At 43.5% G+C, this 20,237-nt stretch overlaps 1 protein-coding gene across 176 annotated transcripts in view; it reads left to right on the top strand.

The window, feature by feature from the left end:
- Positions 1 to 9,827, top strand: part of PTK2 (protein tyrosine kinase 2) — a 344,180-nt gene extending 334,353 nt beyond the window's left edge. For 106 of the 176 annotated variants that reach the window (NR_148039.2, NR_148038.2, NR_148036.2 and 103 more), the window contains 2 exons: positions 2,730 to 2,810; positions 8,049 to 9,827. Coding sequence is in view for 169 of the 176 variants with exons in the window: in NM_001352699.2 (NP_001339628.1) it covers positions 2,730 to 2,810; positions 8,049 to 8,261 (294 nt within the window). In the remaining 7 variants the exon portion in view is untranslated. The remainder of the gene's footprint in view (positions 1 to 2,729; positions 2,811 to 8,048) is intronic. The other 70 variants (NR_170671.1, NR_170672.1, NR_170673.1 and 67 more) reach the window with 2 other exon arrangements.

The raw sequence follows: 20,237 nt of genomic DNA, 5'->3' as shown, positions 1-20,237 counted from the left end.
TTTCTTTTAAAAAGAGTAAAAATAAATAAAAATATCATGCCAGTAAACTAATGTTTTCCAAATTGTGTTCAGTGGAGTGGGATCCTAGCAGGCAGTGACAGGTGTCCTGTGTAAAAGGACACTAGGGGCTGAGTGTGGTGGCTCATGCCCATAATCCCAGAACTTTGGGAGGCTGAGGCAGGCAGATCACTTGAGGTCAGAAGTTCAAGACCAGCTTGGCCAACATGGTGAAACCCCATCTCTTTAAAAAAAAAAAAAAAGAGAGAGAGAGAGAGAAAGAAAGAGGACACTAGGTCCAAGGAAAGTCAGCAATGGCTCCTTTTAAAGAGTACAGACTGGCATGTTGGTTGCACAGGGGTGTCCTCCAGTTCACAGAGTGTGGTCGAAATTTGCTCTAAGCCAGTATTTCTGAAACATACTCGAACATACTTTTTTTTCACTATAGTAAAATACACGTAACATAAACTACCATCTTAACCATTTTTAAGCATACATTTCAGAAGCATTAGGTACATTCACAATGTTGTGCCACCATCAGCACCATCCACTTCCATAACCCTTCCCTTGCAAAACTGAAACTGTGCATTTGAAACAACCCTCCTCTTTTCCCCTCCCCCAGCCCCTGGCAACCTCCATCCTACTTGCTATCTCTATGAATTGACTACCCTAGGTACCGCTTATAAGTGGAATCATACTGTATTTGTCTTTTTGTGATGGATTTATTTCACTCAGCATAGTATCTCAGAGTTCATCCATGTTGTAGCATGTGTCAGAATTTTCTTCCTTTTTAGGGCAGAGTGATATTCCACTGTATGTTCACACCACATTTTGTTTATTTACTGAACCATCACAGGGTACTTGGGTTGCTTCCACCTTTCAGTTATCATGAAGAATGCTGCTAGGAACATGGATATACAAATATCTTTTTGAGACCCTGCTTTCACTTCTTTTGAGTGTATACTCAGAATTGCTGGATCACTGATAATTCTATTTTTAATTTTTTGAGGAGCCACCATTCTGTTTTTCACAGCGGCTGCACCATCTTACATTCCCTCCAACAGCACACAAGGGTTCCAGTTTCTCCATATTCTCACCAAAACGTGTTATTTTCTGGGGGGTTATTTTGAAGCTTGGGGTTTTGTGTGTGTGTTTTAAAAAATAATTGTCATCCTAATGGATGTGAAGTGTATCTAAGTGTGATTTTGATTTGCATACAGGTCTTGAACATCTGTTTGCTTTTTGAGCGTTTGTGTATCTTTTTTGGAAAAATGTCAAGTTTTTTTTTTCTTTTTTGGCCTGTTTTTTAAATCATACTGTATTTTGTTGTTGAGTTATAGAATCCTACAATTGTTGTTGTTGGGTTTTTTGTTTTGTTTTGTTTGAGATGGAGTCTCATTCTGTCACCCAGGCTCCCAGGCTGGAGTGCAATGGCACGATCTTGGTTCACTGCAACCCCTGCCTCCCAGGTTCAAGCAATTCTGCTGCCTCAGCTTCCCGAGTAGCTGGGACTACAGGCATGCACCACCACACCTGGCTTATTTTTGTATTTTTAGTAGAGACGGGGTTTCACCCTGTTGGCCAAGCTGGTCTCAAACTCCTGACCTCAGGTGATCTGCCTGCCTCGGCCTCCCAAAGTCCTGGGATTACAGGCATGAGCCACTGCGCCTGGCCCCTACAACTGTTTTTTAGTATACCTATTAGCAATCTTTGCAACAGCTTCTTATAAACCATCAATGTGGAAAAAGCTGCTTGAAAGTTGTAATGTTTCATGGAAAGCACAGTTAATCCATTCTGGTTCACTTTTTTAAAGTGTATCCACATAACAGTTTTAACCAAAGTTCTTAAGGAGGAACTTGCATGAACCCACAGCCAAGTTTAAACAACTCAACAGTAGGTGAAACCATTCAGAATTTTGTACATACTAAGATTTTATATGGTGATTTTATAGACACTATTTTTTTAACCGTTTTACTTTGGCCAAATGACGTTCTTTTTGTATGTTGATCCAATTATAAGTAACTATCATTTTCTTACTGGTTTTATTCATATTACATGTAATTTGATGTCTTAGTCATTACATTATTTGGTCCTCATAAGTATGACAGTAATGAAAATTTGAAGTTTAAAATTATTTGTTTTAAATCATAGTTAGACCCTTTTTGCTGCAACTCGGAAGTGGCAGGGAGGAGTGTTTCTGCTCAGTGTGCCTAATAGATGAAGCCTGAGATTCAGAACGGGGTCCAAAGCAAGGCTGCCCCCTTGCATCCGGGGCAGTGGTGTCATCTCTGGCCAGCCTCATGAGGTGTTTGAAAGTACCTGGGTGAGAACACATTTGGTGAACACACTTGGGGAAAGGTGCTACTATTTATCCTAACCTGTGTTGGCAGGGTTGGCAGTTGGAGCCAGGAGGGTGGTATAATCTGCTTGGAAGCAGTAGATGAGAAAAAAAAAAATCCTGCTTTCCACCCTCAGCATCTGTGTGACTTTTCTTACATGAACTTCTGGTCTTCAACTCACTCCTTAGGGTATTAGAGCAATGAACAGTCAGATCTAAATCTTTTGGGAGAAAAAGGAGCCTCATAACTTACAAGATAGGGCTAAGCACTGAGAAAAAGAAATACAGAAATTTGCCTTGAAACTTGTGGAAAGGAAATAAAAAAATATATAACTGAAAAGCATAAAAATCCTTTGTGTGTGTTCTAATATTGGTTGTGATTCTTGTCTGTTAGGAAGTCGGCTTGGCCCTGAGGACATTATTGGCCACTGTGGATGAGACCATTCCCCTCCTACCAGCCAGCACCCACCGAGAGGTAGGGCACAATCTTCCCCTTGCAGCCCTCTGTGACAGCACTGGGCAGGGACACATTCAGGGATGCCTGTGGTGCTGAAGGCCGCTCCTCAGTCTGTGGCCAGCAGAGACATCAACTGCCCTACAAGCGATGACCTTCCCTCTAACACTGGCCCCAACCAGGACGGGGCTGTTCATTCTAGGGCATAGGGGTGGTGTGGAGCAGTGGCCACTCAAATTCCAGATCCTGGGTCTTCCTGCTGCTAGTCCACTGCAGAGCCACTATGCAAGGTCCTCATCTGAGCTACAAGTGGCTCTGAGCAGTGGATGAGGAAGGCACATGGGAAACTGCTGCTGGTGCCATGAACCTAAAAGGTAGAAGAATGCTGATATGAATGGGGCGGGCATTGTGCATGGTCTGCTTCCTCGAATTCTCCTTAAAAATAGTTGAGCTTGCAAATGATCCTGGTTTTCCATTTCAAGTAGTAATATAAAAAATTTCTTTTAGGCCAGGCATGGTAGCTCACGCCCGTAATCCCAACACATTGGGAGGCCAAGGCAGGAGGATGGCTTGAGGCCTGGATTTCAAGACAACATAGTGAGACCCTATCTCTACCAAAAAATTAATAAATAAAATTATTGTCTTAAAAAATTCCAGGCCAGGCGCAGTGGCTCACGCCTGTAATCTGAGCACTTTGGGAGGCTGAGGCGGACAGATCACGAGGTCAAGAGATCGAGACCATCCTGGCCAACATGATGAAACTCCATCTCTACTAAAAATACAAAAAGTAGCTAGGCATGGTGGCACGCGCCTATAGTCCCAGCTACTTGGGAGGCTGAGACAGGAGAATGACTTGAACCCGGGAGGTGGAGGTTGCAGTGAGCCGAGATCGTGCCATTGCACTCCAGCCTGCAACAGAGTGAGACTCCATCTGAAAAAAAAAATCATTTTAAATTAATGAATGTCTTTAAGAAGCTTCTTAAGGGCTGAGTGTGGTGGCTCACCTCTGTAATCCCAACACTTTGGGCGGCCGAGACAAGAGGATGGCTTAAAGCCAGTTTATGACCAGCCTGGGCAACAAAGCGAGACTCTGTCTCTACAAAAAATTTTTAAAAATTAGCTGTGTGCAGTAGCTACTCAGGAGGCTGAAGCAGGATGATCGCTTGAGCCCAGGAGTTTCAGGCTACAGTGAGCTAGGATCAAGCCACCATACTCCATCCTGGGTGACAGAGCAAACCCTGTTTCAAAAAAAAAAGTTTTAAGGAATAAAAGTTGACCCAAAATACTGTAGCCCAGCAACAACTATCATTTTTGCTACCTTTTGGCAATTTTGTTTCAATTATATGACTAACAAATGAAAGGAAGCACCTGCATTTGTTTTAGTGTCTTTGAGCCTAGGGTGTACATTCTGTGGTTGGGATTGACAAACGCATGTGGGATGCGTCCCCACTACAGAGTCCAGGATCTGCAGGCTTCAGCCTTGCTCCCTGCTGACTCCAGCTGCCTGCTTTTCTCATTTCTAGGGAAGCATGGGCAGTTCTTCATCCCAGCACACACTTTTTGTTTGTCCTTTTTATTTTGAAATCATTTCAGATTTATATGAAAGTTAAAAGATTAATAGAGAGAACTCCCAACTTTCCTTTGAGTTTCACAGCCTTTTAACATGTCAGCACATTGTCACCTTGCTCCATTGTCTATGTGTGTACACACATCACTTCCTGCTGTCGAGCAGCTTGAGAATGGCTGTGTATCTCATGCCCTCTTCCCCTTTAAGATTTCCATTTATATTTCTCATAACAAGGCCATTGTCCTACATAACCACCACACAATCACCACATTCTGGAACTTTAACATGATGTAATGCACTGTCCCACTCTGCAGGGCACGTTCCAGGGTCGTCGGTTGTCTCTGTAGCACTTTTCCGTCGCCTGTGAGAGCCAGACCAGGATTACACTTTGCACGTGGTGTTGCTTTCTTCAGCCTCCTTTCATCTGAAACAGCTCCTCAGCCTTTTTTTATCTTTCATGACATTGACATTTTTGACAAACATAGGCTCAGTGATTTTATAGAGTATTCTTAAAGTTGGATTGAGGGATATCCTATAAACATTTGTTTCTTCCTGATGAGATTGAGATTTTGCATCTCCAGTCAGGAATACAACATAAATAATGCTGAATCCTTCTCAGCATCATACCCAGAGACATACGATGTCCAGGGGATGTTCCAGTTGACCAACTGGACATTGACTTCTGAAGGACGGTTGGACACAACTCCTGTTGGTGATTCCTTTGTAAGTGGCATTGATTCATATGCATAAACCCTTTAACTTGTTTTTGAGAAGGCCTGTGACTGGTGCTGTAGTGTAACTTCACATCCCAACCAAATGGGGTTCTCTCACTTACCTGCTTCACCGGGCCTCTGGCTTTCCATGACAAGCCTCAGTTTTGCCCCAAAGTGGAGAAGTTCCATATGCTAGAGGCAAGAAAATGGTGTCCTACCAAGTGGATATTTTAGTGGGACTATTTGTCAACACCTACTCTAGTTGATAAAGTCTAAAGTAATCTTTTCATCTCCCCTGATTCCAATACACAAATTGCTCTCCTGTATACAGTATTTTTTAATTATTAATTTTTTTTTTTTTGAGACAGGGTCTGTCTCTGTCACCCAGGCTGGAATGCAGTGACTCCATCACAGCTCACTATAACCTCCAACTCCTGAGCTCAAGTGATCTTCCTGCCTCCGCCTCCCAAGTAGCTGGGATTACAGTTGTATACCACCACGCCCAGCTAATTCTTTATTTTTTTGTAGAGACAGTGTCTTACTGTGTTGCCCAAGCTGGTCTCAAATTCCTGCTTCAAGCCATCCTCCTACCTCGGTCTCCCAAAGTGCTGGGGTTACAGGCGTGAGCCACCACACCTGGCCTTAAATCATTTTTGAAAAGAAGAGGAGCCTGTCTTTGATCCTGCATCTGCCTTTCACTGTCCTCATGCCTCCTCCTGTCCCCATTGTACTTCCTGAAAGAGCAGCCCATCCCTGATGGGGCCACCTCCTCACATGGCAGCTGCACTCAGCGCCAGCTCAGAGCATTCCAGTGCTCCAGCTGTTTGGAACTCTCTCTGCTGTAACAGCCCTTCAAGGTCTCCTAATTGCCAGAGCCCCTGCTTTCCCCTCAGTCCTAACTCCCCCTTGAGACCCCCTGCTCTGGCCCAGAGCTTCCTCACTCACTCCTCTCCTGCCAAGACCTCTGCTCAGGCTTTTGTTCCCTGCCACCCTTGAGTGTGGTCATCTCCCAAAGTGCTACCCACTTGTTTTATTAAAAAATACTTTTTCACTCTGGTAGTTCTTCTCATTCTCATAGATTCAAGTATTTGATGCCTCCCAAATCTGTGTTGATTTTATAGAACCCCGCCCTGAGCTCTGATCTCCAACTGTCTGCCATTGGCAAGAACGGTCTGCTTTCCTTGTTTGCTTCCACAGTCAGTGACAACACCATGCACTTGCATGTCTGTTCCCAATCCCCTACACACATGCAAACAACCACACACCTTCCATCTCTCATCAGGTCTCAGGTTGGTCCGTTCACCTGCACATCCACCATCACCTCTCCTCTGAAGATGGCCTCTTAGATGGTTTATCTGCCTCTTGTCTGTTCCCCTGCCCTTCCATTCAGCCTCCACATTGCCGCCAAGAGCCATCTTTCTAGAATATCTCTCTAGATTTTGTCATTCTCCTTCTTAAAAATCTCTTATCCCTCTTGCCAAGTCCTGCCAAATAAAGATCAACTAGGTGTGGCTTTCACAGTTGAAGCCAGCCTACTTTTACAGTATAGGCCAAATTCAGACAAATTCTCTCTGTGAAGTCTTTCTGACCCTCTCTGAGACAGAATGCATTGCTGTCTTATCTATGTACTTTTCTACTACGTGATTTATTCCAGTGTATTATAGGGTCCTGTGTATGCTTTTCCCATTGTAGACTGCGGGTAAAAACAGGTCTTCCTCCTTGTATCCAAGCACCAAGTGTCTCGTACATAATAGGTGCTCCATAATTGATAAAAGAGCAAATGGATAAGTCACCACTGGTTGAAGAAACAGATAAGAAGGATCATGAGACTCTCCCATGCAAAGCATTCGAACCCTGTAGGACAGCATTTTGTGTTCATTAGCTGCTTCCACCATTGCTGCCCTGACTTAATGTGTGCGGGGGGAGGGGCGTACATAATGGTCTGGCTCTGTCACCCAGGCTGGAGTGCAATGGCACGATCTTGGCTCACTACAACCTCTGTCTTCCAGGCTCAAGCCGTCCTCCCACGTCAGCCTCCTGAGTAGCTTGGAATACAGGTGCACACCACCATACTCAGCTAACTTTTTGTATTTTTTTGTAGAGATGGGGTTTCACCATGTTGCCCAGGCTGGCCTCAAACTTTTGAGCTCAAGCCGTCAGCCTGCCTCCGCCGCCCAAAGTGCTGAAATTGTACAGGAGTGAGCCACTGCGCCCTGCCACCATCCTTAAACCATTTTTTGTATAGCCAAGGAAGGTCTTGAAATAGAGTTGGCATAGTAGAAAGCATAAGACCAGAAGTCAGAACTGAGGCTTTTGTCCTGGCTTGGAGACTAAAGAGCTGTGTGGCCTTCAGCACATCTTACTGTATCTCAGTTGTCCACTCTAATGTGAAAGTGTTTGGAATAGATGATCTCTGAAGTTCTGTCAGATTCTGTGGTTCTATTATGAAACAAAAGCCCTGCCAGTCACTGAGATTAATAAAGTCTAAACAGCGCAAATGGAGACGAAGTTAGTCATGGTGTCAGGGAAGGCTTTGAATGGAAGGAACAAGATGCTGGATCTGCATGTGTGAATCGGCATGCACAAACAGGCACACTATAATAGCTGAATTTCTAAAGTAAGTAAAAAAAATGTTTAAATGCATGAATGTAGTGTGGGAAGTTAAAATAAGAAAAAAAAAATTTAAAGATTGATTTTTACATCCTATTGCTCCTAAGGAAGATTTATTTACAGGAAATAAAGTTTTCTTCTCATGGAGGCACTGAAAGAAAGGCTCATAAAAATTCCCTGAAAAGTTCATTGGTGCAGGGCTTGGTGGCATGTGCCTGTGTTCCCAGCTAGTGGGAAGGCTGAGGCAGGAAGATTCCTTGAGCCCAGGAGTTTGAGGCAAGCTTGGACAACACAGTAAGAACATCTCTCTAAAAAAGAAAAAAAAAAATCACTGAAAACAGTTCTCCTGACCTATCTCTTGTCTTTCAGATTGAGATGGCACAGAAGCTATTGAACTCTGACCTGGGTGAGCTCATCAACAAGATGAAACTGGCCCAGCAGTATGTCATGACCAGCCTCCAGCAAGAGTACAAAAAGCAAATGCTGACTGCTGCTCACGCCCTGGCTGTGGATGCCAAAAACTTACTCGATGTCATTGACCAAGCAAGACTGAAAATGCTTGGGCAGACGAGACCACACTGAGCCTCCCCTAGGAGCACGTCTTGCTACCCTCTTTTGAAGATGTTCTCTAGCCTTCCACCAGCAGCGAGGAATTAACCCTGTGTCCTCAGTCGCCAGCACTTACAGCTCCAACTTTTTTGAATGACCATCTGGTTGAAAAATCTTTCTCATATAAGTTTAACCACACTTTGATTTGGGTTCATTTTTTGTTTTGTTTTTTTCAATCATGATATTCAGAAAAATCCAGGATCCAAAATGTGGCGTTTTTCTAAGAATGAAAATTATATGTAAGCTTTTAAGCATCATGAAGAACAATTTATGTTCACATTAAGATACGTTCTAAAGGGGGATGGCCAAGGGGTGACATCTTAATTCCTAAACTACCTTAGCTGCATAGTGGAAGAGGAGAGCATGAAGCAAAGAATTCCAGGAAACCCAAGAGGCTGAGAATTCTTTTGTCTACCATAGAATTATTATCCAGACTGGAATTTTTGTTTGTTAGAACACCCTTCAGTTGCAATATGCTAATCCCACTTTACAAAGAATATAAAAGCTATATTTTGAAGACTTGAGTTATTTCAGAAAAAACTACAGCCCTTTTTGTCTTACCTGCCTTTTACTTTCGTGTGGATATGTGAAGCATTGGGTCGGGAACTAGCTGTAGAACACAACTAAAAACTCATGTCTTTTTTCACAGAATAATGTGCCAGTTTTTTGTAGCAATGTTATTTCTCTTGGAAGCAGAAATGCTTTGTACCAGAGCACCTCCAAACTGCATTGAGGAGAAGTTCCAGAACCATCCCCTTTTTCCATTTTTATATAATTTATAAAGAAAGATTAAAGCCATGTTGACTATTTTACAGCCACTGGAGTTAACTAACCCTTCCTTGTATCTGTCTTCCCAGGAGAGAATGAAGCAAAACAGGAATTTGGTTTTCTTTTGATGTCCAGTTACACCATCCATTCTGTTAATTTTGAAAAAATATACCCTCCCTTTAGTTTGTTGGGGGATATAAATTATTCTCAGGAAGAATATAATGAACTGTACAGTTACTTTGACCTATTAAAAAGGTGTTACCAGTAAAGTTCTTGTTGTAATATCCTTTCTTTTGGTTCTGTTTCTTCAGATGGCTTTTCAGGTGACTTGTCAGATAAGATAACATACAAGAGAGTTCCCAATAATTATCAGGAAGCCTCTCACTAATTAGTTTCTTTTTTTTTATTTAATCTTCTAAACAAGTCAAGGATGTTACCACAGAAGGGTAGCGTGGCGTAAGTTAACCTTTTCATTCCATCGTCACCTATTAAATGCAGAGCTCAGGATGGAAGTAGCAATGGTCTTCAATGAAAGAACCTTCCCCTGCGCAGGGTCTCACTATTCCGCTAACTCGGACTCAAAGCATAATTCACTTGTCAAGGAAATTGTTAGCATTTCCCAGGCCCACCCTAGTCTTGCTAGAATCTCTGTGAGCCACAGAGCAGGGAGCAAATAGAACTGAGATCTCCAGCACTAGGGACTCAGACTCCAAAGGGAGGGATTTGAGTGAATTTTTTCCAGGTAAATACATGCTCTTATGTGCAAAAGCAGCTTCATCTTTGGATCTGTGACAGTTACTTCATCTGAAGCAAATGTCAAGGGAATGCCATCCTTGTGAGTTTTTTCTAATTTTTGGCATTCTTGAGTCTCTTACATTTCCATTTCCTCATGTTTGAAGTGGTGACTGTGAGAGTGAGCTAAGTCCAGTGTAAATGGTAAAGTGCTCTACATACCTTGTAAGGAACTTTGATGTTGGACCTGTCCAGTGTACTCTCAGAGGTTTAGGAGCATCCGTGGCCTTCACCCACTAGAAACCAGTAGCACTCCCACCAAGCCGTGACAACCAACCTGTCTGCAGACATTGCCAAAGGTTCCCAGGGGAAGGAGGGACAGAACCATTGCAAGTTGAGAACCACTGTTTGAGATAAGAGTTTACCTGCAGTTAGCCGGGCGTGGTGGCTCACGCCTGTAATCCCAGCACTTTGGGAGGCTGAGGCAGGCGGGTCACGAGGTCCATCCTGGCTAACACGGTGAAACCCCATCTCTACTAAAAATACAAAAAATTAGCCAGGCGTGGTGGCGGGCGCCTGTAGTCCCAGCTACTCGGGACGCTGAGGCAGGAGAATGGCGTGAACCCGGGAGGCGGAGCTTACAGTGAGCGGAGATCGCGCTACTGCACTCCAGCGTGGGCAACAGCATGACTCCGTCTCAAAAAAAAAAAAGTTTACCTGCAGTTAATACATTTTGCCTCATGGTCTCACTTCTTAGGAACACCTAGAATTGCGGGTAAGTTTCACATCTTCCTATAAACCAAAGAAAATTTTGGTTTTTAGAGCAGGTGGAGAGACAGACGTTGCATCAGTGCATGGGCCAGAGGTCAGAGGTCAAGCGCAGCCACCAGAGTTGAGCAGAGGCAGTTCACATCCCATGAACTTAGTGGCCTGGAGGGCTATCAGGACCATGAGGTGACTTCCATTACAAGACAAAATGGGGAATTTCAAATCTAAAGACCCAGAGAAAAGTTCATTTGAAACTAAAAGTGTTCAAATTACTCAGCTTCCTTATACTACCTCAGTAACAGCTGCTTAATGAGACAAACCATACATGCAGCACCTGAAAACCTGTCCAAGTTAGCTGGGAGAAGTGTTCACAATCTCATCATTTTTCTCCTATTTTTTATTCTCCATTATTAAAGAGTAGGTAGAGAAAAGGGCACACAAATGTAGAGCTTACTGAACTTTTCCCAAAGGAATGTCCTCTTGTAACTACACCCAGGGTCAGAGAATAGTAACATCACCCCAGAGGTCCTGGGGCTCCCTCCCGCACTGCTCCCCAAGAAGGGCAATCACCACCCTGCTTTTAATCAACTTGAGTAGGATTTAACTTGCATACAATAAGAGCCACTGAATAAACAGCTCAATTTTTTTCAAATGTATACGACCAGTTAGTGACCAGTGTGAGGAAGATGAGAAAGAGCCAGCACTTGGGAAGTGCCTTCATACCTCTGGAGGGCAGGTCCCTGTTTCTCCTTTGTAACCTCTAGTGTGGTCTCCATCGCTAGAAATGGCTTCTTACACTTCAGATTGCTTCTAGAACTACACCATATATACTCTCATTTCTGGCTGCTTTCACTACGAGTGATGTTTTTGAATATCCATGTTGTGTGTATCTGAAGTTCATTCCTTTTTATTTCTGATAATACTCCATGGTAAGAATATATTGCTGCGTATTTCCCTGTTCACCTGTTGATGAATGGGACATTGGGTGGTTTTCAGTTTCTATTAGAAATAAAACTGGGGACGGTGTTTCCATTCCTCCTGGGCAAGTAAACTCTGCAGGAAAGTTCTGGAACATCTGGTAAGTGTATGCTTACCTTTATTAAAAACTGCCAAACTGGTTTCCAGTGACGTTATACCATTTTCATGGATGGACATTCCAGTTGCTCCACATTGTCACCAATGCTTGGTAGTGTCAGTCGTTTTTATCCTCCATACCTAATGAGGTTGAGCGTTTTGTTTTGTTTTGTTTTGTTTTTTCTATACTTAGCCACTTATATATGTTTTTGTGAAGCATCTGCTCAGATATTTTGCATTTTTAAGAAAACTGTTTATCATGTTGTTGTGGAGTAATGGGTGTTCTTACACACTGGATATCAGTCTTTGGTCAGATACTTGTTTTCTAGGTATTTTCTCTCATCCTGGGGCTTGACTATTCATCTTGTTAACTGTACCTCCCCGTATTTTTATCTGAAAAATTGGCAGAGGGGTTGTTATGATTGGGATTTCATTGAGTTTATAGATTGGTTTGGGGAGTATAGATGTCTTAGAAATTGAGTCTTCAGAAACATGAACTTCTTTTTTAAAAAGAAGATCTTGGCCAGGTGCAGTGGCTCACACTTACAATCCCAGCACTTTGGGAGGTCAAGGCAGGCAGATCACCTGAGGTCAGGTCAGGAGTTCGAGACCAGCCTGGCCAACATAGTGAAACCCCATCTCTACTAAAAATACAAAAATTAGCCAGGTGTGGTGGCACATGCCTATAGTCCCAGCTACTCAGGAGACTGAGGCAGGAGAATCACTTGAACTCAGGAGGCGGGAGGTTGCAATGAGCCGAGATCAGGCCACTGCACTCCAGCCTGGGTGACAGAGCGAGACTCCATCTCAAAAATAATAATAATAAGAAGGAGATTTTTAGCCAGGTGTGGTGGTGTGCGCCTGTAGTCCCAGCTACTCTGGAGGCTGAAGTGGGAGGATCACTTGAGCCCAGGAGGTTGAGACTCCAGTGAGCTGTGATCACGACTGCACTCCAGCCTGAGTGACAGAGTGAGACGCTGTCTCTTTTAAAAAAATTTAAAAATACTGCTTGTTTTGGCAGCGCATATACTAAAATTGGAACGATACAGAGAAGATTAGCTTTTAAAAACTTTTTAAAGGCTGGGCGTGGTGGCTTATGCCTGTAATGTCAGCACTTTGGGAGGCCGAGGCAGGCGGATCACCTGAGGTCAGGAGTTTGAGACCAGCCTGGCCAACATAGTGAAACCCTCTCTCTACTAAAAATATAAAAATTAGCTGGGCGTGGTCGACCTCCGCCTCCCAGGTTCAAGTGATTCTCCTGCTTCAGCCTCCTGAGTAGCTGGGATTACAATCATCCGCCACCACGCCCAGCTAAATTTTGTAATTTTAGTAGAGGTGGGGTTGGCCAGGCTGGTCTCGAACTCCTGACCTCAAATGATCTGCCTGCCTCTTCCTCCCGAAGTGCTGGTATTACAGGCATGAGCCACCACGCCCGGTCTCAGTCAACTGTCTTAATGCAAAGGGATCCTTAAAACCTTTTGAAGACACTACCAGTTTACATTTTTTTAATAACTCGTGACCAGAAACTTCAAGATCATTAAGGTTACAGTTTCCCTGTTTTTAATTTAAAAATTTTATAGAGAAGATGGTTTCTGCTTGAAATATGAACACTTTTTGAAATATGAGTGCTTTTATTCATAATGTAATTACAACATTTATATATACACGTTTAATACTAGAGTACACTACCTTTAAACCAAAGGATTTTAAAATGTAAGACCAGGCGCAGTGGCTCACACCTGTAATCCCAGCACTTTGGGAGGCCGTGGCGGGTGGATCACCAGAGGTCAGGAGTTCGAGACCAGCCTGGCCAACATGGCGAAACCCCATCTCTACTAAAAATACAAAATTAGCCAGGTGTGGTGGCACATGCCTGTAATCCCAACTACTAGTTGGGGCTGAGGCAGGAGAATTGCTTTACCCTGGCGGCAGAGGTTGCAGTGAGCTGAGATCGGGCCACTGCACTCCAGCCTGGGCAACAGAGCAAGACTCCATCTCAAAAAAAATAAAATGTGAATACTTTCTCTCCCCTTTTTAAAAACAATTGGAAATCACCTTATTCAAAGGGAGCTCATTAAAAGATTGAGTCCCCAGCGACTGATTTTTTGAACCCCCCTTACTTGCCAGCCCAGGTCACTGAGTATAATTTACAACTTAGCTCTCTATCAGCGTACTGGAAGTTTCTGTTCTTCCATCCTGGAGTGTTCTTAAAAGCCAGCACTTCTAACATTTTAGTAAGAGTTTTGACTTGTGTTCAAAGTCTTTGAGACCCATAATTTCACATTTCTAGCTGTCACTAGAAACGAGTCAAGAAGCTCAACTGAATCCGAAAGGCTTTACAGGCTCAGGTGCCAGTTTCCTCTGGAGGTCGGCCAACCCCAGTTATCATGTGCATCTTTCTGTGCCACTGCTGGAATGCAGTCAGCTTGCACAACGGTAAGGATCTGTTGGCAAGGGTTATAGATTCTACATGTTTATTTAAATGCTGCTTTGAGTTATAAGGGGTCATCTTTAAGTTAGGGACATCTTTAACAATAACTTTTGCCCCTGCCTGTGAGATTACACGCTACAGCTACTGTGCACCGAGAATTCAGTACTAGTTCAGGTCAGGCACACGGCTGCACGTGTAATCCCAGCACCTTTGGAGGCCGAGGCAGGCAAATCACCTGAGATCAGGAGCTCAAGAACAGCCTGGCCAGCAGGGTGAAACCCCGTCTCTACTAAAAATACAAAAATTAGCCAGGCAGGGTGGCAGGTGCTTGTAGTCCCAGCTACTCGGGAGACTGAAGCAGGAGAATCGCTTGAACCTGAGAGGTGGAGGTTGCAGTGAGAAAAGATCATGCCACTGCACTCTAGCCTGGGCAACAGAGCGAGACTCCATCTCAAAAAAAAAAAAAAAAGCCAGGTGTGGTGGTGTGTGCCTGTGGTCCCAGCTATGTGGGAGGCTGAAGTGGGAGGATCACTTGAACCCCAGGGGTGGAGGCTTCAGTGAGCCGTGAGTGTGCCATTGCACTTCAGCCTGGGTGACAGAGCGAGACCCTGTCTCAAAACAACAACCACGGTTTATTATATACAGGGGTCATACAGTACAGCTAACTATGCACTGCAGATTGTACACCAGCTAACCGCACCAGAGATTGAGTATTACAGATTATTATATACTAGGGTTATACATTGCAACTGACTAGGTACCATGGGTTGCACACTACAAAGTGTAGGAGTCAGAGGGTGGAGACCATTCTAGCCTATTAAGGTCAAAGTTCCAGAACAAAATGAGAAGCTGTAGGTAATGCCTGAGGCCTGGAAGGAAGTGTGGATTTGGCCATAGTAGGAGTGGAGATGGGCTGAGGTTGGGATGAGAAGAGCCGGGGAGGTTGTGGGAAGACCCATGCTTGGTGTTTTTGTGGTCCACTGAAGTATAAAGGACGCTGTCAGCAGCAGCCTCTAGTTCAACTCACACCACCTGAGTGGTACGATGCTTATCCCTGGTTCACAGGTGAAGAAACAGTTACACAGTAATCTGACAGCCACGTAGTGAGTAGGTAGGTGCCAGAACTGGGTTGGAAGCTGGGTCGGCCTCATGTTTAGGACTGTAACATAACCACTAGGCCAAATGCCTCTCCCAGATTCTCCCCAGGGATGAAGACCCCACATATTACATTTTGAAACGATCTGATACCTGACAATATCAGAATTGCCATATTTGGTTGGGTTTCCCATCCACACAACCCAGTAAAATCAAAGCTCAATGCCAAAGTAAAAAGGCACTGGTGATGTGCCCCAGAGGTCTTTCGTCCAGGTCTAACCTTTTGCAGATGAGTGGACATGCTGGAATGACGAGCCCAGAGGGCTCTGATCTCCACCTAAAGTGACACATCCTTTGTCCTTTAGTTGTCCCTCATGTTCTCTCTCAATGACAACAGCTAATACTGAGTTCACGTGTGCCAGGCACTGTCCTCTAACAGTGACCCACTAAGGCAGGAGGGTTTAATCTCTTCACTTGGAAATGGGGGTTTGGGAGTTTAAATTCTTAGGTCACCTTGGCGCTGGAACCCAGCCCCCAGGTGTCCTGGCTTTCAGGCTTTGACCAGGTTCAGCAATGACCAGGTGTAGCAATAAGGAGGGCTGTGTGCGTTGTTTAAAACTTTTGAATCATGCCTGGCTTTAATTTGTTATCTTTCTGCAAACAAACAGGCCGGGCATGGTGGCTGACACCTGTAATTCCAGCTACTCGAGAGGCTGAGGCAAGAGGATCACTTCAGGCCAGGAGTTTGAGACCAGCCTGGACAACATAGCGAGACCTTGTTCCTACTAAAAACTAAAAAATTGGCTGGGCGCCGTGGCTCACGCCTGTAATCCCAGCACTTCGGGAGGCCGGGGCAGGCGGATCACAAGGTCAGGAGTTCGAGACCAGCCTAGTCAATATGGTGAAACCCCGTCTCTACTAAAAATACAAAAATTAGCCGAGTGTGGTGGTGCGCGCCTGTAGTCCCAGCTACTTGGGAGGCTGAAGCAGGGAAATCACTTGAACCTGGGAGGCGGAGGTTGCAGTGAGCCAAGATCGTGCCACTGCACTCCAGTGTGGTGGACAGAACAAGACTCCATCTGAAAAAAAAAAAAAAAAAAAAAACCTAAAAAATTAAGTGGGCATGGGGGTACATGTCTGTAGTCCCAGCTACTCAGGAGGCTAAGGCAAGAGGATTGCTTGAGCCCAGGAGTTCAAGTTTACAGTGAGCTATGATCACCCACTGCACTCCAGCCTGGGTGACAGAACAAGATCCTGTCTCTTTAAAAATAATAATTTTTGAAATGTAACTGGAGTGTTGTCTCGGACTATCATATTTTTCAAGATCTACTGGATAAAACCCAGATAAAACTTCTGTCCAATATCATACTGGGTGGGTATTGATTAGTGAAGTAATTAAAACTGATTTTTTTAAATCACTTTAATATGCTGTATTAAAATGCTGTAACTTTGGTCAATCCTCATCTTATTTCATCTTATCAAGTGCTTCATATTTTCCACTCCTAACAGCAAAAAGTAAAAATGATATGTGAACGTCCAGAGTGATTGTGTGTATGTATATATATGTGTGTGTGTGTGTTTATATATATATATACATACACACAAATATATATACACGTTTTCTTTAAAAAAAAAAAAAAAGTGAGGCCCTCCTTTGCAGAGTGATTGTTTTTTAAGCAGTGTGTGACTTTCTGTTTCTTTACATTCATAAGAAAATCTGGTCATGATATGTAACAACATGGATGGAGTTACTTCTGATTTTTATATTTGATTCTCATTTAATAAATCCCCAAAGCCAAAAAAAATCATTATACGTGCTCACATACATTTACCAAATGAATATCATGCTTTCTATCGTACTCCTTGCTTCGTAACTTACTACTCTAAGCACACATTATACTGTATTATTACAAATTATGTTAAAGTGGATACAGTATGATTTATTTTCTTGCTCTTGTAACATGGTAAAATAGATACATTAATTATATCTTATCATTTTAATCTTGACTGCGTTTAGTAATCTATCTTACAAATATATTCTTTATTTCTCAGTGGCTTCTATAATAATCCTGGAAATGTGTATTAGCACGTTTATTTGAATTGAAAAATGAAGTCACCTGACAGAGAGTCTATTTGGCTTTCTTGTTTGACAAGGGGGACGGGCTCTGCAAATCAGATATCAGATGCCATATTTTTCCATAAATTGAATAAGCTAAATCTACAGTTACAACTTTGACAAAAATGTATTAATATTTAAAGAGTAATATAACTTTTATTTAAAAAACATTTTATTGCAGCCGGACGTGGTGACTCAACCCTGTAATCCCAGCACTTTGGGAGGCCGAGGCGGGCAGATCACCTGAGTTCAGGAGTTCAAGACCAGCCTGGCCAACATGGTGAAATCCCGTCTCTACCAAAAATACGAAAGTTAGCCGGGTGTGGTGGCGGGTGCCTGTAGTCCCAGCTACTCCAAAGGCTGAGGAAGGAGAATCGCTTGAACCCGGGAGGTGGAGGTTGCAATGAGCAGAGATTGCGCCACTGCACTCCAGCCTGGAGTGAGACTCTGTCTCAAAAAAAAAAAAAAAAAAAATTTGACCAGGTGCAGTGGCTTACACCTGTAATCCCAGCACTTTGGGAGGCCGAGGCAGGTGGATCACGAGGTTAGGGGTTCAAGACCAGCCTAGCCAAGATGATGAAACCTCGTCTCTACTAAAAATACAGAAATTAGCCAGGTGCGTGGTGGCAGGCGCCTGTAATCCCAGCTACTCGAGAGGCTGAGGCAAGAGAATCGCTTGAACCGGGGTCGGGGCGGAAGTTGCAGTGAGCCGAGATCGTACCACTGCACTCCAGCCTGGGCAACAGAGTGAGACTCTGTGTCAAAAAATACATATATTTATTGGCAAAGATATAAGTGAATTAACTCCGACAGAGTGAGACTCCTCAACAAAAATTTATTGGCAAAGATGTAAATGATACAACAGTATTTTTATGTTCCTCACACCTTACTGAACATATTAGGTTAAACTTGATCCTTTTAAATTAATATTAGATATCAGCCTCAGAAAATTCTTTTTGTTTTTGTTGAGGTAAATGTACATACAGTGAAATGCACAGTTTAATGAATTTTAACAAATGCATACACCTGTGTAACCATCACTCAAATTGAGATATAGAACATACTCATGGGGAGTTCCCAGCCTATAGGCAAACACTGTTCTGATTTCCAACAGCATAGATTAGTTTTTGTCTGTTCTTGAATTCATATCAACTGAGCATACAGTGTGTGCTTTTTTGTGTCTAGCTTCTTTCACTTAACACAATGTTTTTGGGATGCATCCATGTGGTGTGTTTGTTGTTTTCTTTGTTTTGTTTTGTTTGAGATGGAGTCTCACTCTGTAGCCCAGGCTGGAGTGCAGTGGCATGATCTCAGCTCACTGCAACCTCTGCCTCTTGGGTTCAAGTGATTCTCCTGCCTCAGTCTCCCCAGTAGCTGGGATTACAGGCACCTGCCACTGCACCTGGCTATTTTTGGTAGTTTTAGTAGAGACAGAGTTTCACCATGTTGGCCAGGCTGGTCTTGAACTCCTGACCTTGTGATCCACTCGCCTCGGCCTCCCAAAGTGCTGGGATTACAGGCATGAGCACCGCACCTGGCCTGTAATTTTTTTTTAATTGCTGAATAGTATTCTATTGGGTACATAGACTACAGTTCGTTTACCATTCTCCTATTGATAGATATCTGATTGTTTCCAGTTCGGGGCTTAATGAATAAAGTGGCTATAAACATTTGCATACAAGTCTTTTTGGGTAGGTATGTTTTTATTTCTTTTCTCTCTTTTTTTTTTTTTTTTTTTTTTTTTTCCTGAGACAGGGTCTCACCCTGTCACCCAGGCTGGAATGCAGTGGCACGATCCGAGCTCACTGCAGCCAGGCATCCTCTTGTCTCAGCCCCCTAAAATGTTGGGATTACAGGCATGACCCACTACAACTGGCCAACTGTTTGCTTTTATGAAGGTCTGTTCAAATCTTTTGGCTATTTTTTTAAATTATTTAATTTATTGAGACAGGGTCTCATTCTGTCACCCAGGCTGGCGTGCAGTGGTTCAATCATGGCTCACTGCCAGCTCCACTTCCTGGGCTCAGGTGATTCTCCCACCTCAGCCTCCCCAGTAACTGGGACTGCAGGCATGCACCACCACATCCGGCTCATTTTTGTATTTTTTGTAGAGATGCAGTTTTGCCATGTCACCCAGGCTATTACTCATTTTTTAAAAATTATTTTATGTATTTATTTATTTATTTTACAGCAAGTCTCACTGTGTTGTCCAGGCTGGTCTTGAACTGCTGAGCTCAAACAATCCTCTTACTTCAGCCTCCCAAGTAGCTGGGATTATAGGCGTGAGCCACTCCACGTGGCCTTTTGCTGGTTTTTAAAAATCAAGTTTTTTACTTTATTATTGATTTGTAGTCATTCTTTATATATTCTGGATATAAGTCCTTTGTCAGCTGTATGTATTGCAAATATTCTCTCTCAGTCCGTGGCTTGTCTTTTTATTTTCTTAACAGTATCTTTTGATGAGCAATAGTTCTTAATTTGAATGAAGTTCTAATTAATACTTTTTAAAATACTTAGTGCTTTTTGCATCTTCTCTAAGACATCTTTGCCTGCCCCAAGGTTGCATGATATTTACCATATTTTCCTCTAAAAGCTATATAGCATTAATTTTTAAGGTTGTTTGTTTGTTCATTTGTTTTTGAGACAAGGTGCCACTCTGTCACCTAGGTTGGAGCGCAGTGGTGCATTCTCAGCTCACTGCAGCTTCGACCCCTCAAGCTCAAGCGATCCTCCTACCTCAGCCTCCCGAGCTCGAGCGATCCTCCCTCAGCCTCCCGAGCTCGAGCGATCCTCCTACCTCAGCCTCCCGAGCTCGAGCGATCCTCCTACCTCAGCCTCCCGAGCTCAGGCGATCCTCCTACCTCAGCCTCCCAAGTAACTGGGACTTTCTTTTCCCTTTTTTTTTTTCCTTCTTGAGACAGGGTCTCACTCTGTCACCAAGCCGGAGTGCAGTAGCATAATCAGA

This window comes from Homo sapiens, chromosome 8 (genome assembly GCF_000001405.40).
Source record: "Homo sapiens chromosome 8, GRCh38.p14 Primary Assembly".
In the NCBI taxonomy this organism is placed as follows: Eukaryota; Metazoa; Chordata; class Mammalia; order Primates; family Hominidae; genus Homo; species Homo sapiens.
The sequence above is the reverse complement of the archived record's forward strand: the minus strand, read 5'-3'. Positions and strand labels throughout refer to the sequence as shown.